Genomic DNA, 27,331 nt, shown 5'->3' with positions numbered 1-27,331 from the left:
TAAGCAAAACCACAAAAACTCTTTTACCAAAGCTAAATAGCCTTTTCATTAAGCATTCCTCTGGTTGTTGTTTTTATTAGTAGAGATCCAAAAAGTTGATCTTAAGTTTTTGCTAGCAATGGTTGCTTCAGTGGAGGGACAGATCTTTGGAGCTCCCCATTTTGCTATTTTTGGTGATGTCACTATATAAGATTTTAAAATGATTAACTTTTATAAATAGAGGATATGTTAGTGGCTGTCAGGATTTGGGGAAAGAGAGGTATGTGTGCTTACAAAAGAGCAATGTGAGGGATCCTCATGGTGGTGGATGTATGAACACAAGTGATAATACTGTTTAGATCTAAATACACAGAATACTAAACTGGGGAAATAAGTTGAATGGATTGTATCAATATCAATATCCTGGTGGTGATACACTATAGTTTTACAAAATATTAATATTTGGGGAAACAGGGCCAAGTGTACAGAGATCTCTATATTATGTCTTACAATTGCATGTGAATTTACATTACCTCAACAGAAATTCTGACTAAAAAGAATTCAGGGGCCAGGGCTCAGTGGCTCATGCCTGTGATCCCAACACCTTGGGAGGTTGAGGTGGATGGATCTCTTGAGCCCAGGAGTTTGTGACCAACCTGGGAAACATGGAGAAGCCCTATTTCTACAAAGAAATACAAAAATTAGCTGGGAGTGGCAGCACATGCCTGTAGTCCCAGCTACTTGTGAGGCCAAGGTAGGACAATCACCTGAGCCCAGGAAGTAGAGGCTGCAGTGAGCTGTGATTGTGCCACTGCACTCCAGGCTGGGCAATGAAGTGAGACCCTGTCTCAAAACAAAACAAAACCAAAAAAAAGGATTCAAAAAAATACTCAGACTGGAGAAGATGAGGTTTTAGGAATATATTACCCAACTTATTTTGCTTACAATTTCTCTTTTTTTGTATCCACAAGTTATGTGATAAAAATCTTATGTTTAAATACATCTAAAATAGCTCTTCTAATAAGTAAAATTCAAAATAAGAAAGCACCATACTATAATTGATACCGATTTTTCTTTTCTAGTTGTGTGTGTGAAATAACAGGACATCTTACAATTAATGGCAACTTAGATTTGATGATCTATAGCAGGTGTTTGGAATGAGGTTGACTTAACAAGTCTATTTTGGCTCATGATGCCAGCCTTGGCACTAATCATCAAAATATCTCCAATAAATAGTGCAGTATCTTGTGGTGTAACAAGATAAAGGAGTCAGGAAGTATATGGTACTCATCCATGTTTCTGTTTATATATAGGATAACAAATTCAGGAACAATGGGAAAGTAATATATGAAACCTTAATAGGAAATACAATAGAGATTACAAAACACCACCATTTGATTTTTTATGCAAATACTTCAATATTCCAATATTTTTACTCACTTGCTAAATAAAGCACATGACTCGAAATGCTAAATAATTCTGTTAGTCTAAATCTTTTAAAGAATAAAATGTTGGTGAAAAACCAAAATTGTTTAGTAAGGTATGTATGACCTTGTTTATTATCTATCATAGACATCAAGATGATCATAGTTAATACCAATTTAAGCTTTACAGAATACTGTTTTAGGCCCAATATTGATATATTAAATGAAGGTATCAGAGAATCTTGTATTTATGGCATCAGGTTATAAAGATCTATTCAAAACCATTTTTGTCAAAGTTTAAACACTGGAACAAAAGTCAAATTGTTTCTAAATGAGACACAAAATGATTCTTGCTAATAGTACAAATTTTGTCCCATGGGTAATACTATTGTCTTTTTCTTTTTTAAAAAAATTATTTCGATTTTTATTTTAGATTCAGGAAACACATGGGCAGGTTTGTTAGCTGAGTATACTGTGTGATGTTGAGGTTTGGGGTACGTATGATCCTGTCACCCAGGTAGTGAGCACAGTCCCCAGTAGGTAAGTTTTTCAGCTCTTGCTCCCGCTCCCCACCCTACCTCCCCAGTGTCTATTATTCCCATGGGTACTCAGGTATTACTATTTTCAAGTTTTTTTCTTTACATGAAACTACTGAAAGCAAAAGTATGTCATGCTTATAGGTTACTCTGTACATTTATCATTCTATTAATAAACATCTTAAGTAATTAAGTAGTATATTAAGGCCATAAACCAAGTCATTATCTTCTATCAAAGGACTACTGTTATTCAATCATCTAGAAAATTCATTTTAGGCAGGACGCAGTGGCTCACGTCTGTAATCTCAGCACTTTGGGAGGCCGAGGTGGGTGGATCATGAAGTCAGGAGTTGGAGAACATCCTGACCAGCATGGTGAAACCCCGCCTCTACTAAAAATACAAAAATTAGCTGGGCGTGGTGGTGTGTGCCTGTAATCCCAGCTACTCAGGAGGCTGAGGCAGGAGAATCACTTGAACCTGGGAGGCAGAGGTTGCAGTGAGCTGAAATTGCGCCACTGCACTCCAGCCTGGGCAACAGAGAGAAACTCTGTCTTAAAAAAAAAGAAATTCATTTTAATGGGTTACGTTACAGGGTTGAGGTCAGCCTACAGACACAAAATAGGTTAACTGGAATTTTTTTTTTTTCGTATCAGGTTTTAATTTTTTCATTGGAACAGGATTTGGGGGTGGGGATACTAAATGTGGCAGGGTTCAACAAATTTACATTTTATCAAAATAAGGTTCTTAAAGAATACAATGATAGCATATGCTTTAACTCTGGTAGCACAAACCCTCATTAATTGATGGTCACAGAAAAATACTGTAATGCTTTAAACAAAAGTTTTAAATTACATCAATGACACAAGTTTCAAACAAAATGCAGTGATCAAAATACTTAACTGTCCTTTCATCAAGCTTTTACAAACACAATCAGTCTTCGCTGTCTGAGGAAATCAGTTTTAGTTTCTTCATGGTCCTCCATCTGTCTTTTAACATGACACTTGTCCGGTTGTTGAATTTATAATGCAACAGTATTTTAGACCAGTTTCCCTCTCCATATTTCCTCACGCCAGATCTCAAATTCTTGTCTTCTTCCCAAAGCCATGCCTTTTGATAAAAAGTAAAACAGTTATTTACAGAAACAATTATTCAAAAAGAAAATACCTACTATAAATGCCAGTTTTAAAAAATCAAAATAATGCTTAGTTTCTTAAAGACGGAAGACTTCTCTAAACATTTCTTAGATTTTTAAAAGATTTTACATTTATCGTAACATTTTTAGGGGTCATTATTATTACTGTTCATTTTATGTAAGCTCAGCTGCCCAAGATCAGATAGCTAGAAAGTGGCAGTGCTACATGTCAACTGAATTTGTCTGACTTTAAGCCCACACTGTCTCTTAAAATGCTCTTCTACAATTGTTAATAGTTGTATTTATTATCCTCCAAATCTCCAAATAGGCTTTGTGAATGTTTAGTAGTTCACTAATGAACTCAGTGAAAAACCTGTTCTGCCTATGGTAGGGGAAGTATTACACACCCATATAAAACTCAAATCTTGTCTAAAATAGACTTTCAAAAATACAACTAACATAAACTAATTAAAAACATTTAATTTTATGCTGGGAGAAAATTCCTAAACATTTTTAAAAATCAAATTTAATACTATACACAGAAAAATTACTGATACTTGGCATTTGCTACAGGCAACTAACTAATTATTCCTTCTGTTGGCATGCTGAAAGAGCAATTTGACCATCTGCGTGGTTATTTACTGTGTCTAGACTACAAGAAATTCTCCAGCACTTCAGATTTTCTTTAAAAACCCGGTTCATCAACCCACACTCATTCAGATGGCTGCTATCAAAAAAACACAAAATAAGTGTTGGTGAGGATATGGATAAATTGGAACCTGTGTGCACTAGTGGTGGGAATGTAAAATTATAGCACCACTATGGAAAACAGTATGACAGTTACCCAAAAAATTTTTTAAAAGGACTACCATATGATCCAGCAATTCCACTTCTGGGTACATATCTAAAAGAGTCGAGAGCAGGGACCTGAAGAGGTATTTGTACATCCATGTTCATAGCAGCATTATTCACAATAGTTAAAATGTGGATGCAACCCAACTGTCCATCAACTGATAAATGGATAAACAAAATTATATTATATATTATACTTATATAATTCAGCCTTAAAAAGGAAGTTCTGACGCATTCTAGAACATGGATAAACCTTGAGGACATTAGGTTAGACAGAAAAAGAAAAATACTATGCTACTTCTGATATGAGGTGCCTAGAATAGTCCAACTCATAAACAGAAAGTAGAATGATGGTGGCAAGGGGGCTGGGAGGATGGAAATGGACTTACTGTTTAAGGAGTACGGTTTCAGTTTTGTAAGAGGAAGAGTGCTATTGATAGATGGTAGTGATGGTAGCACAATATGAATATATTTAATGCTACCAAACTGTACACTTAAAAATAGTTAAAATGGCAAATGGTAAATTTTATATCATGTGTACTTTACTATAATCGAAGAAAAAAAAATCCAGTTCAATTGTCTAATGCAATATTAGAAAGAATTCAAGGTGGCCTGAAGAATACAAACATGACATGAGAACCATCTCGTGTATGACTCAGTACCAAAAAGTTGGCAGTGACCGTAACCAAACCCATGCAGAAGTTTGTTTGAGCTACCTTAAACCTGATCCCCTGTTCTTGCTATTCCTCTGCTTTGTGACTTAAATCCAAGATACGAACCTGGTCTCTTCTGTACGTGCTTTTGCTTTTGTTTGTCTGCAGCACACCTATCGGCAACTGTGCTGCTTACAAGTACATGGCTATTCAATCGCTAGACAAAGGCTGACAGCCTCCTATGACCATCTATTACTGCCTGACTCGGCCTTCACTCCTACAAAACCTCACTACACTGCTTGTCATTAACTGACAAAAACCAAGAGATGCATTAATAAATTTTTCATGTGTGGGGTGACTGATTAAAAGCACTTCAACAGTGGGTTATTAATCTTTGGGGTCATATAAATCTTACAGACGTACTCCACAGAAAAGTATAGTATCTAAAATTTCATATACAAATTTGGGGGCCACATAAACTCTCTTTAAAGAGCCTATCAACTCCATGGTCTCCAAGTTAAGCATTTCTGTTCTTTCAAAAACTTGCCATATACGTTATTCAGCTTTAAAAAGTAGTTTGTGGTTTAGACAAATTTCATACACATATACAGCATTGTTTTCTTGTTCTTATCTGAGCTGTAGTATTTTTAATAAGGTGCACAGATGACGTTTGATACAATACAAAAGCCCCTTTCTTTCAAGAAATGACCAATGTTTTCTGAATCCTATTTGGGGTCCTGGGTGCAGTATGTTTAAGCAGTATTTTCCCATGTATCATCTATAGCAGGGGACAGCAAGCCACTGCCAAAACCCAGCCCAAGGCTGGTTTTCTACAGCCCCGGAGCTAAGAACCATATTAAAATTTAAGTCATTTAAAAAATATATTTAAAATATGTAACAGAAACTATGTATGTGAAATATACATAAAATACATTAGTAATAAATATATTATAAATCTTGCTCTTTATAGAAAAATTTTGCTCACCCCTAACCTAGAGGAAAGTAGTAATGTTGTCAGTATAGATTAACTGAAAACTAACAGTGTTTAGCATTAAGTATTTTATTTTTTTCTTCTATTGAAAAAGAGTAACTTTAGCTTGATATAGTGTTATTTCATGGTTGATTATGCCTTGATTGTTTTGCTTGATCTGAATGTTTTCAGTCTTTGCTTAATTTTACCTGTGACTGAAAGAGTTTTGAAAACATCATACAGAATAAGCTATCGTCTGGCAAGTAAGGAAAGCTGTAATTTTTAAGTTTAGAGGTTCAAGTGGCCTAGTAGTCATTGGTACCAACTTCTACTTTCTATAGCTAGAGTTTAATGAGTGACACAACTGACCTGTGTCAGATCAGAAAGAAAACATAAGGGCAGTACAATTTCATAAAGTCTACTATTGTGCTTAAAACTTTCCATTTCCTCATTTTATACATTTAACTGATTGTACCAGATTCCACTGATAGTAATAATTAAGGGAAGAGTTTAAGATGATGTATTTCTGGACATTAAACCCATACAACCCATTTCCTTTGTTTTATTGTCATTTGTCTTTTATTTTCTCAAAAAATCAAATACAAAATCTTAACAACCCCAGCCATGCCAATAGCCTGAAAAGATACAAAGAGCACATAACAAATTAAAACACACCAATCTTTTTCTTTCCCAAGGCTAGAGATTACATAACTCAGATCTGCACTGTATATCCATTCTAAAGAACAAATAATGCTTTTTAATGCCTTAAAATGATACTACGAATAGTAAAAGAAAATACTGCTACAGTATTTCTCATTACATACTGTTTATGGAAAACAGTTTGAAAGGCATTTACTTTTCTTCTTTAATGGAATAAGTTTATAAAAGGAGGGCTCTTTAATTCTGATGAGGAAGGAAGAAATATCTTTAACAGACCAATGCAGCAAAAGAAAACTGTCCAAGTAGACATGGGCTATTGCCGTAAGTTTTTTTTTTTAAAAACCTCAATACAAAATAAAATTAAGTCTGTCACTTATCTTCTAAAACAAGTATTTTAACAAAAGGCCAACAACGGAAAGCTAAAAAATAAAACCAGGCCCTTGTGATATCCACAGAATTCTTTTTTGGCATAGGAAATGGTGATAGATATTATCACTGATTATGTGGTCGATATCCTATATTTCGTTTTGAATAGAAGAGAAACAACTGTTTTCCTCATATATATCTGTAAATAACACCTCATTTGGAATGGCTGCTGGAAGAACTATAGGGAAAGATCAGTTATATGTATAAGACAGAGACTTCTGGTTTCCAATCTAACATGTGAAGAGCTTGGAAATCATCACTACAGTCCCCAGAAGAAAAAAGCTGTTGAACAAACTGAAACTCAGTAACTCTTCTTAGATACATCAAAGAACAAATGTCACAGGGCAAACTGCTGTCCTGAAAACTAAAGAGAGAGAGAGGCAGATTGAGAAAATCACAAGAATTACTGGGGACAGAAAGGCCAGGAGCAGAAGCTCACAGCTGGAGCCAATACTGGTAGGAGCAATTAACTGTGACTGAGGAACTGATGGAGGATCCGTGTGGATAAGCTTCAGAGTTAAAAACTCCAAGGGCCCAGTTTCAGAGGGACTCACAAACTTTTGTGAGTTTTATCTCCAGGAGCCCCCCCAGGTCTCAGGGTAAAGATTACACAAAAATTCCTTCCTGCTTCTGACAGGCGGAGGGAAAAAGTAGCCATTTTGAAATACTCCCCAATTAGAAATACTCCCCATTTCAAAATAAATGAGGAAAGCGTTCTGGTCTTCTTAACAAAATCCTTTCCTCAAGAGAAACTAATTTTGCCAGAACCTAACCAACTGAGGTTTTACCAGAACCTAACTTACCTGTGGAAATACTCAACTCCACCCCTCTCTAGCCTTCATGTCTCACCCAAGGGGTGGTGGGCTGAGAAGCACTTATGAAGGTCACAGCCTAGGACACAGGCTTACTAAAAGAAGGAGAACTATGCACAGGACTCCAGAACGCTTCACCTCCCCTTACCTTACCACTACATTAGTCAGGATCCTGGGCGTTATAGTTGAAAGAGGTCCCTCAGATTCTTATTAAAAAGCAGTCTCTAGGGAAACCCAGAGACAACAAGAGAGACAAAAACAGGACACTAAAGGAAATTTTAGCCTTTGACACCTACAGCTACAAACGGTAACTCCTAGACAGATAAACATAAAACCTCACATTAAAGGATCATTTATCTCATTTCCTTTTACCTGATATATCATGTCTAGCTATCAGCAAAATATTATAAACATGCTAAAAAGCAAAAAACACAGTCTGAAGAGACAAAGCAAGCACCAGGACCACACTCAAGATATGGCACAGATTTTGAAATTGTCAGACTTGGAATTTAAAATGATTATGATCAATATGTCAAAGGATTTAATGGAAAAAGTGGACAACATGCAAGAACAGATGGGTAAATGTAAATGGAGAGATGAAAACTCTAAGAAAGAACCAAAGGGAAATGCCAGAAATCAACATGGTAACAGAAATGAACAATGCCTCTGATGGGCTCATAAGCAGATTAAACACAGCTGAAGAAAGAATCAGTACATTTGAAGATATATTAATAGAAAGTTCTCAAACTGAAAAGTAAACAGAAAAAAGAATGAAAAAGATAAAGGAATAACTAAGAACAGTGGGACAATCTTAAAAGGTGTAACATTTGGAATCATAATGGGAACACCAGAAGAAGAAGGAAAGGAACAAAAGAAAGATTTGAAGTAATAATGGCTGAGCATTTTCCAAAACTAAAGACAGACACCAAACTACAGATTCAGGAAGCTCAGAAAATACCAAGCAGGATAAATAACAAACTATATACATGTACATCATATTCAAACTGCAAAAAAAATCCAGCACAAAACATATGCATGACTGTGGTCACATATGGTAGCATAAGGTTAGCATTTCCCTCTTCTCCTTTGGGAATTCACCCAAAAGCAACAAGAAATAAAATCCCAAACTCTGAAAAAAGTTAAGAGAAATTTACAACCTGAACCATAATGTAGGTAGAAAGGGTATAAATAATCAGTGCAACTTAGGTGTATGAAAAAGCAACTCTGTCTACAGATCTCAGGAAGTGTGTGCCATCTGTTTTTCTAATGAAAATACCCTGAGGTACACCCCCTAAATCTCTGGTCAGCAACAGCAGGAGCTCCCCTCAACCTACTAAAGGCCAGAGATGGCAAGGCTAAAAAAGGGAATCACAAAGGCAAGTAATATGTGTAGGAAGCAAATGAAAAGTAGAAGTTGCTTGCTATGTTCACTGGGGGAGAAATGAAGGGTAACATAACTTTGAGTCACAGAAGATATTCCGAGTAGCGTGCAACTTGACACTATCTGCAGCACCTCAGTATGAACTATTTGCAATTAGCTTGTCAAAAAAAAAAAAAAAAAGGCACCTTCGAGTAAGAAAACGGTTCCAGCCACAAAAGAAAACAAGGGCCTGACTGGGTGCAGTAGCTCATGCCTACAGTCCCAGCACTTTTGGAGCCCAAGGTGGGAGGATCACTCGAGCCAAGTAATTCAAGACCAGCCTGGGCAACATTGTGAGACACCATCTCTACAAAAAAAAGGGGGAAACACACACACACACACACACACACACACACACACACACACACACACCACAAAAACAAAGACCAGATTTATCCATCTGCTGTGAACAACTAGACAATCAAAAAATACATAAAATAATGGTTTCAGACACTGGACAGATGGCACAAGACTATAGTCACTGAAAGGGGAAGCAAATGAATCAAGCCCTAAATTGACCCACCTTAATAAAATTTTGTGATCAAATGGTATCTTTTCTTTGTTTTTAAGTAAAGAAAACTCTTTTTACACTGGATCCCTGTTAGGAAAATTTAAACATCAAAGCTTATAATGTGGAGTTAAGTCCCACCTTACATCTAATAAACAGATTTTATGATAGTATCACAATAATTCCAAACAGATGTCAGTACCAACACCCAACTTAAGACTTTTTAAATATGGGTGAAGTATTTCATTTTGAATAGGCTGATTAGTCACCTATCTAAGACGGCAAAATAAAAGATGGCAAAGGGCAAATATTTTACACTCAAAATTTTGGGGAGGTTGAACAGAAATAATCACAATTATTCAAGTTATAACTTTAATGTCCATAAGCGTTATTCGAATTTTAAAAAACCAAATACCTGTCTTTTTCTAGCTCGATGTTTTTCAGGAGTTACCGGCTGACTCTTTGAAACAGGTATTCTGCTTTCAGTGGCTCTTCTGCTTTCTTTTTTCTTTTTTGTACCTAAAAGTAGAAAAATAATGTCATAAATATTGATTTACATTAAAGAAAAAAGAGCAATTATATTTTTAATGATTATAATGAAATTCCTTTTCTAAGCTATTCTAAGAAAAAGTACATGTTTAACTTTTTCCTTCAAATCTGGAAGCAGTATGGTATAGTGCAAAGATCAGCCTTTGAAATCAGAGGGGGAGTGTTTTGAGTCTTGATTCTTTTATATGTCTTTAAATAAATCATTTCACATCCCTGAACCTGTCTTTCCATTATCTGTTTAAAAAAAAAGGAAAAATATTTATTGCATAGGATCGTTGAAATTTTCTTACGATAATGTTTTAGGAGTACTAAGAAGCATAATCCTTTCCTCACTCCTTCTTTCTTATTCATAGTCAGTTTGGTAAGACAAATATATGTAACTGAAAAGAAACAGAACTGTAATTACTGAAAAATGATAATTGTTTAGGCAGAAAACCTAAGAGAATCTACAAATAGAATTAAAAGATCAGTAAGATCAATACACAAAAAGGATTTCATTCATTAGCAATAGGATTTCTATTCATTAGCAACAAACAGTTAAAATAATTTAATTAAAACAATATAAAGATACTATTTACAATAGCCACAAAAAAATCTAACATTCTTAGAGGTAACTTTTTTTTTTTAAGAGATAGGGTCTCTCTCTTTTGCCTAGGCTGAAGTGCAGTGGTATGATCACAGCTCAAACTCCTGGGCTCAAGTGATACTTCTGCCTTATCCTCCCTCACCTCAGCCTCCTGAGTAGCTGGTACTAGAGGCACCGGCCGCCATGCCCGACTAATTTTTTAAAATTTTTTTGTAAAGACATGGTTTCACTATATTGCACAGGCTGGTCTCTTAATTCCTGGGCTCAAGTAATCCTCCTGCCTTGGCCTCCCAAAGTGCTGGAATTACAGGTATGAGCCATCAGGTCATGGCCTCTTAGATAACTTTATCAAAAGTGATACATTTGTATGTAGTAAATTATAAAGCTTTACTATGTATATAAAACATGTTATGAGAAGCTTTATCTATCTATCTACCTATCTACTTACCTACCTACCTACCTACTGCTGGCCTTCTATATTCGCAGGTTCCACATCTGTGGATTCAACCAACCTTGGAATAAAATATTCGGGGGGAAAAATATATATATGTTTTATATATATATAATATTTATATATATTATATATTATATCATATTTATATATATTATATATCATATTTATATATATTATATATCATATTTATATATTATATATTATATATATTATTATACTATATATTATATATAATATATATATTATTATACTATATATTATATATAATATATATATTATACTATATAATATTATATATAATATATATTTCATACTATATAATATATATTATATATAATATAATATTATACTATATAATATATATTATATATAATATAATATTATTATACATATAATATATATTATATATGTTATATATAATATATAATATATATAATAAATTTATGATATGTTATATATATTATATATAAAAAATATATATATTTTCCCCCCCGAATATTTTATTCCAAGGTTCCAAGGTTTATATATTTTATTCCAAATATATAAATTTATTATATATAAATATATTTAATATATTTTATATGTTAATATAACATATATAATATATATTATATATTATATATAAAAATTTATATGTATTTTCCCCCCAAATATTTTATTCCAAGGTTGGTTGAATCCACAGATGTGGAATCTGTGAATATAGAGGGCCAACAGTTAGGTAGGTAGGTAGGTAAGTAGATAGGTAGATAAGATAGATAAAGCTTCTCATAACATGTTTTATATACATAGTAAAGCTTTATAATTATATATAAATTATTATATTATAATTATATATAAATTATATTATATAATATATATTATTATATTATATATTATAATATAAATTATTATATATTATAATATATAAATTATTAATTATATAGTATATATGGGGTTTTATATAATATATGATATATATTATATGTAGTATAATTATTATATATATTATAATTATATATTATGTACATTATATATTATATATATTATATATTATATTACATATAAACCATACTGTGGGCCATTAAACAAATCTTTAAAAAAAAATCTATGAAGCATATTCACAGACTGAAATAGAATTAAACTAAAAATCAGTAACAGAAAGATATTTGGAAATTAAACAACTTCCCTCATAGGTCATATATATATAATATATTATATATAAATATATATTATATATATTTATATATAACTACAATAATAAAAGTGATACAAATAAAAAATATAGTCTAACAATTATTTACTACAATTTAGTTATTTATCATTTACATTGTTTTAGTTACTGTAAGTAATTTGGGGATGAGTTAAAGCATGTGGTAGGCGGGTGCACAGGTCTATATGCAAAGACTATGCCATTTTATGTAAGGGACTTGAGCATTTGAGAATTCTGGTATCCCTGCTGTGGGGGCGGGGGGATGGGTCCTGGAACCAATACCCTGTGAAAACCAAGGGATGACTGTATATATAAAAACATGTTAGAGAAATGTATTTTGTTCATGCACAGGAAACTTAATGTAATGGTGTCAGTTCTCTGCAAAATCATCTATTGTTAACAATGCAATTTCACATAAAAATCTCAACAGGGTTCTTCGTATAGTTTAACAAAATTATTCTAAAATTATGTGTTAAGACAGGTAGTCCACTATTGGCTCTGAGCACCCCTGCAATTCCTGTTGAATGTAGAAAAGCCTTATTCATCTCCTGAAATAGTGCATTTTCTATAGCCAGTCAGATAGGCAATTAAGCAGGTCAAGGAAACCACAACATGATGACCAGGCCAACTGCTCTCTCCTGGGAGAGGGTACTGGCTTGTTTGCTATTTGTTACAATGTTTTGTTGCTTACTCAAAAAGCACTGGGCCCTTGGCTCTGAGTTTTCCTCAGCTGAAATATAACTTACTGCCTTCGCAGCATCCATTTAGGCCTGTTGCATAGTCCACCGGACTTGGGGTAGGGAAATCTGAACAACTACATCAATGCCATGTTGTTTGCTATAATAATCTGTCTTACTCTAACTCATTAAGTCACTAAGTCTTGTTGTCTACCTTTTGTATCTATAAAGTAGCAGCAGGTTTACTGCTTATAAAGCCCTATGGCTAGGTTTTTTCCCTGACAATATGGAACACCAAAACACCAGAATAGTCAAGATACTCTTGAAAAACAATAAGATTACCCTACTACAAACATGGGATGTTGACATATATGGGATTTTGACATATATACTGGGTGTGTTCCAGTCAGGAAAATGGAAACCACACTAGCTCTGATGGAGAGATTTTAGCATTAGGAGAAATGTTTAAACAGGTGCTAGGGGACTAAAATAGCAAAAAGCAAATAATCACATAAATGTAAAGACAAATTCATAATTATATTTGGGAGATTTATCACTTTTCTAATTGATACAACAATAGACAGGAAATGAGTACATATATAGAATACCTGAACAGCATTATTAAAAACTTGACCTAATTGACATTTTAAAACACTTCATTCAACAATGCCAGAATTCACGTTCTTCTCTGTGCACATCCAAATGGACCAAAATAAACCATACTGTGGGCCATAAAACAAATCTTAAAAAAAAAAAAATCTACGAAGCATATTCACAGACTGAAATAGAATTAAACTAAAAATCAGTAACAGAAAGATATTTGGAAATTAAACAACTTCCCTCATAGGTCAGTAAAAAAGTCTCTACAAAAATGAAAAAGTATTTTGAACTGAAAATCCAACATGGGAAAACAATGCTACAACTATTGATTATATAAAATATAACCAAGAAAATTTGGGGATTGGTGGAAGAAATTTTTGCTAAGGTCAATCAACAGACTAAAGTTGATTAACTAAAGTTGAATGACCTCTTAAAGCATTTCATATTCTTTATTTTACACAGATCATAAAGGTTACTGATAGATTTCTTGTGAAACCACCTTTATCTGAAGTACTGAATCCTTCAGTTTTACATATTAAAAATTAAATGTAAATATATTTTAAAGTAACATATGTAACTTGATGACATTTTTCTAAAATTTGATTTGCTTTCAATCTATACATTCTTCTACTGAGGTAGTCCATCTAAGCAATTAAAAGCCTGGGCTCTGGAGTCAGACTGTCTGATTTCAAATTTTGGCTCCTGTTCTATTCATACACTGTGTAACCAAAGGCATTTTATTTACCTTTTTAAGTCTCAGCTTCCTCATCTGTATAATGGAGATGATAAAAAAAAAAAGCACTAATCTCATAAGGTTGTTTTGAGGATTGAATGCATTTACCTATAAAAAGCTTTCAACTCAAATATTAATAATTTCACTCAATGCTGGTGAGTTTTTCTGCACTGATGAAATCTGGATGATTTGGCTTTTTCTTTCAAGTTTTCTGAATTAACTTGATTTTTTTTCCCTAAGCATATGTCAATTTTACAACACAAAAATTAGTTTTTGAAAAAAAGGTTAGGGCTGGGAGCAGTGGCTCATGCCTGTAATCTCAGCACAATTACAGCAAGCAGATTGCTTGAGTTTGGGAGTTAGAGACCTGCAGGGGCAACATGCCAAACCCCACCTCTACAAAAAACACAAAAAGGCCGGGTGTGGTGGCTCACGCCTGTAATCCCAGCACTTTGGGGAGGCCGAGGTGGGCGGATTGCCTGAGGTTAGGAGTTCCAGACCAGCCTGGCCAACATGGCGAAACCCCGTCTCTACTAAAAATACAAAAATCTGCCGGGTGTGGTGGCACACTCCTGTAATCCCAGCTACTCAGGAGGCTGAGGCAGGAGAATTGCTTGAAACCTGGAAATGGAGGTTGCAGTGAGCCGAGATTGATCCACCACACTCCAGCCAGGGTGACAGTGCAAGACCCCATCTCAAAACAAACAAACAAACAAACAAACAAAAAAATAGCAGGGTGTGGCGGCATGTGCCTGTGGTCCCAGCTACTTGGAAGGCTGAGGTGGGAGGATCAACTGAGCCTGGGAAGGTAGATGCTACAGTGAGCCAAGATCTCACCACTGCACTGCATTCCAGCCTGGGCAACAAAGTAAGACTCTGTCTCCAAAAACAGAAAAAGAAGAGAAAAAAAGGTTTAGCACAAACAAAATTATTAGCCTCAAACTATAAAGAGGGGGTACCTGGGTACCACTGAAGTACACTGAATTTTTTTAAGAAAACGTACTTATTACTGACACCTAATAAAATGTGCTAAAACTCAAAGACCTTATAGACTCAATAGCCACAGTCACTGTCAAGCCAGTTTGCAAAGAGTTTATAGTCTTCGAGTTTGCTGATAAACCATGTTTTCTCTTTTTTGAGACAGTCTCGCTCTGTCACACAGGCTGGAGTGCAACCTCCACCTCCTAGGTTCAAGCTGGATTCTCGTGCCTCAGCCTCCTGAGTAGCTGGCATTACAGGCAGGCACCACCATGCCTGGCTAATTTTTTCTATTTTTAGTAGAAACGGGGTTTCGCCATGTTGCCAAGGCTGGTCTCAAACTCCTGAGCTCTTCAGGCAATCCACCTGCCTCAGCGTCCCAAAGTGCTAGGACTATAGGCGTGAGCCACTGCGCCTGGCCTACATTTCCTTTTCTTTGAATTTCATACTATGAAATTAAAACCCTAGGAAAATGCTCACATTATTCTCATTTAAAATGATTCCCAGCCGTCTTGCAGCAATAGGTATAGAAAACCAATCTTGGAACTCCACCAACATTAAGCACATAACTTTACTGAGTTTCCGTTTTCTCATCTTTAAAAATGGGAATGATATCTATGAATGTAAATATTTTAGAACTCTATTTACAAATATTTGCTAATGGTTGCCATGTCATCAGCCATCAGGTATGAACAAATTTATTCTATAATATTTACTGCAGGCCTATCATTTGCCTGGCACCAAGATGGTACCTTATGAGCATGGAGAAATAAACCTAATTTCATTATGTCTATTATTTTTATCAATAAGTATTTAGGTTTAGATCCATATTAAAAATCTCAGGGGGGAGGGGGGAGGGATAGCATTAGGAGATATACCTAATGCTAAATGACGAGTTAATGGGTGCAGCACACCAACATGGCACATGTATACATATGTAACAAACCTGCACGTTGTGAACATGTACCCTAAAACTTAAAGTATAAAAAAAAAAAATCTCAGTATCAGTTCAGTACCTAAAATATTACTGTGGGGTCAATAAACATTTGTTAAATGACTACATACCAAAAAGAAACTTGTAATTTGCTAAGTCAACGCTCTCAGACTTTATTAAACGTAACTACTGTGAATAACAAGAATCAACTGTACTTAATGTTTCTGAAAAGTAACTACAGTCACGGATTGCTTTACAAGGGGGATATGTTCTGAGAAATGGGGCGTTGGGTGATTTTGTCCTTATGTGAACATTATTAAGAGTACACTTACACAAACATACATATATATATATATATTCATATAGAAAACCCACGGTTCCCAGTACCATTGCTAATTATCAATCATTTCCCCTACTTGATATGCAATGCCAATATCAAGTGCCACATTATCAAGTTTCCATATGTGCTCCATTACATTATTACAGGACCACCATCCTATATGCAATGCAGTCTGTCTTTGACTGAAATGTCATGATGTGGCATATGACTATACTTGAAGTTGCTGAACACAGTGAAGGTAGAAAAGCAGTGTACCACCATAGCAAAAGAACCCTAAGCTAGACAGTCAAAATAGCTAACTTTCTAAATTAAACACTATCTCAATTAACTCTATGAAGTCAAGACTTTGTGCTTCAGTTTTCTGAAGTGTGTGTTTTTTTGCTATAGTGGTAAAGTCAATGGCTGGATTGTTTGAGGACACATCAATTCTCCCCTTCTAAAACTGTTATAACAGTACTCACTTTGAGGAGTTCCTACTCTTCTTTCTTTCTTATTAAGGTCTTGTTGCTGGGTTCCATGTTGCAACTTAGATAAGAAAAGATTCTTGTGAGACCTAAAATAAAACAGGAAAGTTTGTAATTGGCTCCAGAAAGATAGTAAGGCAATGGAAAACAGGTAAATGATTTGCCTTAATCTGTTCTAGGATCTTCTATTAATACTTTGGCCTACTTCCTTTGGTGCTCTCCCTGCTTAGTACCCCATCTTAACCTGTGGCCTCTTAAGATTTCTGTTGCCTGTCTCATCTTTCTCCATCTCATCTACTCCGCAGAAATCAAGATGTTTTTTGATGTCTCAGAAGAAGCAGGCAAAAAAAAGAAAAGACAAGACTCTTTCGGCCTTCCAATTAGATACATCAAGGAAAAAAATCCTTAAACTACAAAGTATTAGCTTTCATTCTCTCTTATGGCTTTTATTTCCCCAAAGACGGATTCCAAAATTCCTTTACATAATGGCAGGTATCACTTGATTATCTTTACAGCTTCCAAAAAGAGTTTTGAAAGGTAAGGCTGTTTGGAAACACAGGATGTGGCATCATTTTTTTTGAAAACTCTGCCAAATTGGTATTATATTAATCCAATTTTATGAAGGAGCAAACTAAGATTCAAAAAGCAGTTCACCTAAGCTTAGGCAGCTGTATTATCTCCACCTAAAATGTAGGTTATTTTAGCTATACTTTTATCCCTATAGATACTCTAGGTGACCAGCCATCCTTTCTCTCTTCCCCTCTGTCCCTCCTTCCTAAGACTTTCTATTGTCCTTTCTAGAATGTCATTCTCAATCTCTTCACCCATTCCTCTCCGCTCTTTGCCTTGTCTAAAATCTAGCTTTCCCCTGGGGACAATGTTTCTCTCCTTGGTAGCCTTCTCAAGTAGAGATTGGCTTAATCTTCCACCCTCCATAAACTATAGGACTCCAGAGACAGCAGTTTTCATTTCCTAATGAATGCCACTTTCAAGATCCTGCTTCCATAGAAACTTCAGCCTTGAGGATTCATGCCACTGAGATGTATCACCTTCAATCATTCTTCACAGCCATTTACCATCCTTCCAAGCACTTCTTCATCATTCACAGATCTTTCTCTACACCTAAGTGCTGCTATTATGAATTATTTCAGTGTTCTCACAGACAATTCATATACCATCTTGGCCTCTCAGTTCCTCATGTCCAATCACCTCCTCCACATGAAGTCAGCCACCTCCTCCCCATGGTTCCACTTGTGATCCCAACTGCTCTATGTTAGAAATCATTCATGCAGACTTTCTGCCCTCGGGACAGGTTGTATTGTCTGTCACAGCGATTCTATTAGATCAAATAAAGTTTTTCAAGTAACTTTCATAAAATTGGCATGGGGCATTCATTAGAAATGTAATTGCCATCCCCTTCCTGCCCCAGTATCATATCTTTGTTTCTGTGACAGAGAAGTGTTTACTAAACATCTGTTTTAAGCTCAAGAACTCCCTATATGTGTATTCCAATAATGGCTTTGTAGAAACAATGTGAAACAACCCAGTCTCAGAGCAGGTCTCTACAGTTTGGAATTTCAAGATGTCTCAGAGTCGTGACTATCTGTTGGGCTAACTAGGACCCTGAGATATTCTTTCAATTGTACCATTTATGTGGTAGTTTTTATTAGGTCTGCATGAATTGCTTCAATCAAAGATTTGAAAGACAAAGAAGAAAAACGTCAATTTACTTCACCTCAATAAGGATACTGTACCCTCTGAGGATTCAGTTACCGCAGACTGTTTGTCACTAACACTTTAAAAGAAGAAAAAATTTGTAAGAATGTAAACAAAAGAAACTTTTCATAAGGATAGTACTTTCCACATAGTCAAGGCATATTTCAATTTATAAAAAAATAACTTTGGAAAGAAACCTTGGTAACATCGGGACATATACAGTCCATTACAACATGGCTAATTCTTGTCCAGACATGCTTATAAGAGGTATTAAACCAAGTTTCTCCAAACATAAGCATAATTAATGGTGTAGTCAAGCATTTATAACACTCTTTCAAAAACTCTTCTACGGCACTTTATTTCCATGAATTCAAGTTTTAAAAACTGCTTTATTAAGGTATAATTGATACATAAAAAGCATGGCACATGTTTAAAGTATACAATTTGATGGGTTCAATTTTAATTTCTGGTTCTCCCCACCAGTCTCCAATTGAACTTTTGGGAATCGATTAAGTTCCCGTTTGTTATAGTTAAAATGGTTTCCACATACACACAGCATGACTATTTACACCTCCATGCTTTCACTAGTAATATTCCTCTCTCCTAAAATGATATTTCCTCTTCTATCCATCTGTAAAAATCTTAACCATCCTACAAAAGCCCCTGTTCAAGACTACTACCTCCATGAAGCTGTCCATCTCAACTATTTCAACACTGTGTTAGATATTTTAAGTAATCTAGAGATGATTTAAAGTATATGGGAGGATGTGTGTAGGTTGTATACAAATATTACACCCCCTTTTTTTTTTTGACAGGGTCTCGCCGAGGGTCACCGGAGTGCAGTGGCACAAACACAGCTTACTGCAGACCTGCCGGGCTCAAACAATCCTCTCACCTAAGCCTCTTAAGTAGTTGGCACTACAGGCATGCACCACCAAGACTGGTTAATTTTTGTAAAGACAAGGTTCTGCCATGTTGCCTAGGCTGGTCTCAAACTCCTGGGCTCAAGTGATCCTCCTGCCTCAGCCTTTCAAAGTGCTGGGATTACAGGTGTGAGCCACTGTTCCTGGCTATTACACCATTTTTGTAAGACACTTGAGCATCCATGGATTTTGGTATTCATGAAGGATGGATGTCCTAGGACTAATCCCCTTCAAACACCAAGGAACAACTGTATAAGCTTTATCAGAGCAAAATATTTATTTCATCTAGTCTTCATAACATGGAGGTTTCCATTTTTCTAGGATTTGTCTGACCTCACAATCACACTTCTGATTCTATACTTGCTTTACTTGAATCCTTACTGGTAACTGTCATGACACTGGTGGTTTGATGCTTTATTTGCCCTGGTTCTGCTTCCACGATGGTTTTGGTATTTGCTCGATTCTTGATCTTTACCCTGTTTCTGGTTTTAGTTTTGTTCCCTGTAACTAGTGTACAGCAAGTTCTAATGTATGCCTGGTAATGAATGAGGCAACAAGGATACCAAGCTAATTAAGATGCTTCAAAGCTAAGTAAGAACCTTCAAATAATTCTCAATCTATTGAAAGAATCAGGTAAACAAATAAGTTACCAACGAAGATAAGTCCTTTTATAGAGATGTATGCTATGAAAGCACAGAAGTAACAACTCTGATTACAGAGCTGGGCAAGACTTCATATAGGTGATCTCTGAGATAGACTGAATGGCAAGGAAGAGCTTGCCTTGGAGAGAATAAAATGATAGGAATTCAAATAGAAGGAACAAAGCTTCTGTGCTGCTAGAAAGTACCATGTATGTGGACAGGGAGGAGTTCATGCTTAGGGATAAGACTGTATGTAAAAAAAAAAAAAAAAAAAAAAAATGGGTCTACGTAAGGCTTTATAAGCCATGCCAATAAATTCTGACTCATCTAGTAGGAAATAGGAGCCAAAAGGTTTTTAAGCTGGGAGTGATCTAAAGAGATTTATTTTTGTGGAAGCTAACTCTAGAAGTTATGTCAAGGATGGATTTGAATGGTACAAAGCTATATAGATAAAAATAGATTGGAGAAGCATTTCTGAGGTGCGGTTCCTAATACTTGGAGAGCAGCTGGATGTGTGAGGTTAAAGAGAGGCAGGGTGTAGAGAGGCAAATGAGAACATGAAGAGTTCTGTTTGGTACACATGGATTGCACTGTGTTTGTGTCTAGGAGAGCATCTGAAATAAGTGGGTAGCACTATATAAGGAGAGTCCATAGGAAGTGTGCTCATGATTATCTGTAAGAACCATGGTATTAGCAATATTATCATGAGCAGGATGGCTTGGCCACAAGAATGTACTGGGTATTAGTATCATTCAACTTTGATTTTTGAAACAAAAGGAAGTAATTGGGCCAATAAAAATGGAATCTCTACTTCTTAAATTGGAGTTTAGAAAAAAGTACATCAATGTGAAATAAGACTTTAGTACAGCCTTTGGAGAGATGAACCCCTGAGGAACAAGTCATGCTTTGACAGGCAGGAACAATAGGAGGGGCCACTATAAGATGACAGAACCTCAGTCCTAAGATGTGACAAATGCAGTGTAGATCCAACTTGAACCCCAATCTCCACCTCTAAATAAGTAGTTAAGATGGGGTCCCTGCAACACTTAGGTCATGGTCCCAAGAAGAAAGTAATATTACATCCATTTCCAAATATACCCATCCAGAGACCACAGAGATTTGATTATCTGGCCTTGGTTTAAGGGTAGAAGAACAGAGAAAACAGACCATGGGTTCAACAGAAAAGAAGATCTTTATAATGTTAAGAGTTATATCTTTCTCAATAGGGGAAGATACTTAAGCTTCTAAAACAAAAGACAACAATCACCCCTGAAAATCCCTAAAGAAAAAATAATTTTGGAGACTTAACAACTATCTCTCAATATATAGGACTGACACAACTTGTTTTCCTCCAGTATTAAAGCAAATCACTATTTCTTCAGTTGAGCACCAGATGAAGCAGTGAGCTTATGCTTAGAGAAGATATATGAATAATATCTTAAAATACTAGACTCTTAGTACAGTGAAACATGAATCACATAATGAGAACATGTAGAATCTAAACACAACTAAGGGGCACAGGAGTCCAACCTCACCCTTGTTCCTAAGCATACCCCAAGAATGGTAAACTATCCACATTATTTAAACTGTAATATTTTCTTATTCTCTACTTTTGCTTAGCATATATAATTTGCACAAGTCATGAAATAACTCTACAGTACTTCAAATACCTAAATGTTAATCATCAGCAAGATAACATGCTACTCAATAATTATTTTTAATAAAAAGACATATCAATTTTACATAAAGACAGAACATTCATAAAACAAAAAATATACAAATTGATTAAATTACAAACCTTTTTCTTGTATCCAAATTAGCTTCAGTTTCCATTTCAACATCATTACCACTAGGTTTATCTTGAGAAGTTATTGTTCTTGTCCTTTTGCTTTCTACTACTTTTGCCGCTGCCTTAAAAAACGTGCGTGGAGGTAGAAGGATAGGAAGAAATGCATTAAGCCATTTTAAACAAATAGCATTAAATTAAGCCTTGTAATTCTTTGATAGTCATAGCTAATGTATCTGTTCACAGGCCAATGAAGGGCACTGTGTTGTTATTTTCACCAATAATTATGACACTGCCAGCAGCTACATTAGCTATCTGCTTGGTTTATCAGCGTTACGAAGGTGGTCTTTCCTTGTAAATATATTTGATAGACAAAATGCTCTCTAGGCAATTTTAAGAGAAAAGGCTGCATGAAAAAAAAAAAAAATAAAAATTCTAGATATTTTCAAATAAAAACTATCTCAAATCAATCAAGATGCTCCACTATAACACTGTCAACTTAAAAATTTGGAGGCCAAGACAGAAAATAAAATGTTATTAGAAAAATTTTATTGTTGTTTGTTTTGAGACAGGGTCTCACTCTGTCACCCAGGCTGGAGTGCAGTGGCACAATCACAGCTCACTGCAGCCTCAACCTCCTGGGCTCAGGTGATTTCCCACATCAGCCTCCTAGGTAGCTGGGACTACAGGCATGCGCCACTATGCCTGGCTAAATTTTTGTAATTTTTTTGTAGAGACGGGGTTTTGCCATGTTGCCCAGGCTGGTCTCAAACTCCTGGGCTCAAGCGATCCACCCATTTTGGCTTCCCAAAGTGCTGGGATTACAGGCGTGAGTTACCGCGCCTGACTAGAAATGTGTTTTTTTTTGAGACAAGTCTCACTTTGTCACCCAGGCTGGAGTGCAGTGGTTCAATCTCAGCTCACTACAGCCTCAACCTCCTGGGTTCAAGCAATCCTTCTGCCTCAGCCGCCACAAGTAGCTGGGACTACAGGCGTGTGCCACTATGTCTGGCTAAATTTTTCTATTTTTTCGGTAGAGATGGGGTTTTGCCATGTTGCCCAGGCTGGTCTCAAACTCCTGGGATCAAGCGATCTACCCATTTCGGCCTCCCAAAGTGCTGGGATTACAGGCATGAGCCACTGCGCCTGACCAGAAATGTCTTTTTTTTGAGACAGGGTCTCATTTTGTCACCCAGGCTGGAGTGCAGTGGCTCAACCTCAGCTCACTACAGCCTCAACTCCCCAAAGTAGCTGGGACTACAGGTGTATGCCACCATGCCCAGCTTTTTTTTTTTTTTTTTTTTTTTTTTGAGACAGAGTCTCACTGTCGCCCAGGCTGGAGTGCAGTGGCGCAATCTCAGCTCACTGCAAGCTCTGCCTCCCAGGTTCATGCCATTCTCCTGCTTCAGCCTCCTGAGTAGCTGGGACTACAGGCACCTGCCACCACACCCAGCTAATTTTTTTGTATTTTCTTAGGAGAGACGGGGTTTCACCATGTTAGCCACCTGACCGTGTGATCCGCCTGACCGTGTGATTCACCTGCCTTGGCCTCCCAAAGTGCTGGGATTACAGGCGTGAGCCACCGCGCCCGGCCCAGCTAATTTTTTTGTATTTTTTTGTAGATAAGGGGTTTCACCATGTCGCCCAGGCTAGTCTCGAACTCCTGAAACTTGGCCTCCCAAAGTGCTAGCATTACAGGCATGAGCCACCGCGCCTGGCCTAGAAAAATTTTAAAAGGCCCTTCTTTAATACAATTCTATTTTTCCCCAAAAATATGTTTAAAAAGTCTTTAAAATTTACTTAAATTAAAATATTTGCTTTTGCCTATTTCTTATTTTTAATTCATTCTAAGTTTTCCCTTCAACTTTTTCTTTTGAAAATTTCCCCAAACTAATTTTGAAAAGTTACAAAAGTACATATCACTCATAAATCTTTTAATTAGGTCCACAAAATGTAACATTTTACCACACCTTTCTACAAAACCACAATGAAAAATTCTGATTAATTTTAAAGGATTTCTATTTCAAGTATTCTCCTTTATTATAACGTTTCCTTTAAGTCTATTATTAGTCACTCTTGAATAATATGTATACCTTCATTAGAAAGGTTGATGATTTTTCACTTAGCACATAATTCACATAACTCTTAATTTTCTCCATCATGTGGTTGTAGCTGAAGTGTTGAAAAAAGGAATGAAATGTATCTTTCTGAGAGATTATCATAAGCAATTTGCTTTTGAAAGGCTAAAGAAAACAGAAGAAATATATTAACATAAATCACACAAAGTTACAGATACAACGATTTTTGTCACATATTATTTAATTGAAAAGAAATCACTTTACAAACTCAAGAGACACAGATATTTTTAAAATTAAGTTTTAAATGGCATGCCAATGTACCTTTTTCTGACTTCTTCTGGCCTCTCCTCATTTTAAAAAATATTTTACATTTTAGACAGATTCAAAAAGATATGTATTATAAACCAGAGTATCCATTACCCAGTTTCAGAAATAAAACATAATCAATATGGTTAAAATCCCTGTTTACTACCATAATCTGATTGTATTCCCTTTCCTCTCCTAACTGTAACCATTACCCTGAATTTAGAATTCACCATTCCCAGGAATTCCTTTACTTGCACTACATATGTATGTATCCACAAATATGTAGCATTGCTTAGCATGGTTTTAACTCTACAAATAGTGTTGTACGATGCGTATTCTTTTGAAACTTGCTATATTTCACTCAACTCTATGTTTACAACATTTATCCATGCTGATTTGATATTCCTAGAAGTAGTTATTTTTGCCATTGTAAAGTACTACACTGATCAAAAACATCACTTATTCATCCATTCTTCATGCCTATTGAGGGATTTAGGCTACTTGCAATTATTGTATCGCTCTTCAACATTTTTCTACATTATCTTCTGTGCATTGTATGTGTTTTTCTTGGACAGTAGCTTTTTCAATGCTGGCTGCACAATAAAAAAAGTAGAACTTTAAAAAAATTCTTAGGCTCAATCCCAGAGCAACTGTCTCAGGAAGGCCTTGGTTTTTTGTTGCCTTTAAACTTCATGGCTTTTAAAATATGCAGTTAAAAGTGAAACCAGCTATTCTAAGGTATTGTCTAGAAGTGGAATTGCTGGAATGCATGCTTAAAATATTTTGCTAAAATGATCTCCCAAAGAAGTACCAATTTACAGTCTTGAAAGGAAGTTATGGCAGGCAGTACAATCATTTCTCAATTTGTTGAGACAACTGTTGATATTCTAAGACATTTTAATTGATGCCAGTCTGAGGCATGGAAAGTGGTATTTCAATATAGTACTTAATATTGCCCTAATGAGGCAACATTAATACTAGTGAGGTCAAGTACTTATCTTAACCTCTTAATATTTCCTGGCCATTAAGTTTTCCTCTTCTGGGAGGTATAAGCAGAGTAGAATTTTCAGTAGTCTCATAGTGCTATGGAGAAAATATTAAGGGTAGAAAACCCAACAGACATATCAGGCTATTGGCTGAAATTTCTGGAGGGTTATACCCCAGGTACAGGGTTAAATTAGAGATAGACAAAGCCTTGCCAAAACTGCCCAACCTACTCTCTACTAGGCCCAGGTTCCTTACTGGATTAAGGTAGTCACTCTCCAACTCTATCTACTAACATTATCAAGGGAAGGTGCTCAATCTGATTATTCATCAGGGAAACAAATTAAAATCCAACAGGATAGCACTACATATTTGCCTGAATGGCTAAAATGAAAACCCAGATACAAGGTGTGTGGAGCAACTAGAATTCTTTCACACTACTGGAGGAACTGACATAACTACTTTGGAGAACAGTTTGGCAATATCTACTAAAACTGAGTATGTACACATCTTATGACTAATCAGTTCTACTCTTCATATAAACCCAAAAGAAATGCATATATTTGTTCCACAAAATGTATGGGGGAAAAAATTACACCTGTACTGAACACATACAGATTTTTTGTATCTTTTTGTTCCTAAACAGTACAACTATTTACATTGTGTAAGTTATTATACATAATCTAGAGATGATTTAAACTATACAGGAGGATGTACATATGTTATATGCAAATACTATACTATTTTATTATTTATTTATTTTTAGAGACAGCGTCTCTCTCTGTTGCTTAGGCTGGAGCGCAGTGGCAGCGTTATAGCTCACTGCAGCCTTGACTTCCTAGGCTCAAGCAATCTTCCCACCTCAGGACTACAGTATTGCGCCACCACACCTGGCTAATTTTTAATTTTTTTGTAGAGAACAGGGTCTCGCTGTGTTGCCCAGGCTGCTCTTGAACTACTGACCTCAAATGATCCTCCTGCTTCAGCCTCCTAAAGTACTGGTATTATAGGCATGAGCTATTGCACCGGGCCTCTTTTTACTTTTTTAATATGACTACTGGAAAATTGTATTTATTTTTCATTATTTATTATTCCTTCTTTTTGGAGAGATGAGGATCTCTCCATGTTGCCCAGGCTGGTCTCGAATGCCTGAGCTCAAGAGATCCTCCCACCTCAGCCTCCCAAAGTGCTGGAATTATAGGTGTAAGCTACTGCGTCCAGCTTATTAGAAAATTTTAAATCACATATGTGACTTGCGTAGTTTTTCTGTTGCACGGTATTATTCTATACTGTTTAAAAGATAAAGCATTTCTTTTCTCCTCCAATTTTCTTTCAGTTTTCCTCACTCTACATAAACACTTCTAAAATTCTATGGTTTTAATTTAAATAATTACCATATGAGAATTTGGATCACCAAATATTCTTTCAAAGACTTCTTCTGCTTCTTTAAAGTTGCCATTTTCCATACAAACAGCTATAGCCTAAAAGATGAAAAATACCAACCTTAGACTGCGTTTATAAATACCCAATAGTTATTTAATTATTAAGATAACTCAGGTAAGTCTGAAATCCTCTGTTGAGAACATTTTTATGTAGCTTAATAATTTTAATTTGATAAAAGATATAAAATTATTTTTCAAAGACAAAATAAGTGTCGCTTGAAATGACATGAAAAATTTGCACTGGTCCCATGCACATTTATTCATAAATGCCCAGCATTCTATCTCTAATTTAGACCAAATGAAAAGTATGTATTAATAAATAAATTAGAAGCCATACCACACACATTTAGGACCCACCTAAATATTAATTTTGAGTAAAAGGGAAATGAGAGGAGGTAGATGATGTTTGTGATGATTAGGATACATAAAATTTGCTAGTCAGATCCCTGGAAAATATCTAATACACACCTAAGAAGCTAGATGTTTTTTAATGATCATTTTTTTCATGCATTGGCATTTTTGGTAACGTGGTAAGTAAGACAGGACCACTTACCATTTGGGTAGCTATGTAAACTTGG

At 35.6% G+C, this 27,331-nt stretch overlaps 1 protein-coding gene across 18 annotated transcripts in view; it reads right to left on the bottom strand.

Annotated features, from left to right (window-relative positions):
* Positions 885-27,331, bottom strand: part of TERF1 (telomeric repeat binding factor 1) — a 39,260-nt gene continuing 12,813 nt past the window's right edge. For 3 of the 18 annotated variants that reach the window (NM_001413367.1, NM_017489.3, NM_001413370.1), the window contains 7 exons: positions 26,706-26,792; positions 24,037-24,186; positions 21,956-22,068; positions 18,613-18,672; positions 16,875-16,966; positions 9,789-9,892; positions 885-3,047 (listed from right to left, as the gene is read on the bottom strand). In NM_001413367.1, coding sequence (NP_001400296.1) covers positions 2,871-3,047; positions 9,789-9,892; positions 16,875-16,966; positions 18,613-18,672; positions 21,956-22,068; positions 24,037-24,186; positions 26,706-26,792 — 783 coding nt within the window. In that variant the 3' untranslated portion in view covers positions 885-2,870. Of the gene's footprint in view, positions 3,048-9,388; positions 9,464-9,788; positions 9,893-10,212; positions 10,303-16,870; positions 16,967-18,052; positions 18,214-18,612; positions 18,673-21,955; positions 22,069-24,036; positions 24,187-26,705; positions 26,793-27,331 lie in introns of all 18 variants that reach the window. The other 15 variants (NM_001413368.1, NM_003218.4, NM_001413372.1 and 12 more) reach the window with 11 other exon arrangements.

The sequence above is a fragment of the Homo sapiens genome, chromosome 8 (assembly GCF_000001405.40).
Source record: "Homo sapiens chromosome 8, GRCh38.p14 Primary Assembly".
In the NCBI taxonomy this organism is placed as follows: domain Eukaryota; kingdom Metazoa; phylum Chordata; class Mammalia; order Primates; family Hominidae; genus Homo; species Homo sapiens.
Note: the sequence above shows the minus strand (reverse complement) of the source record. Positions and strands in the feature narration are given on the sequence as shown.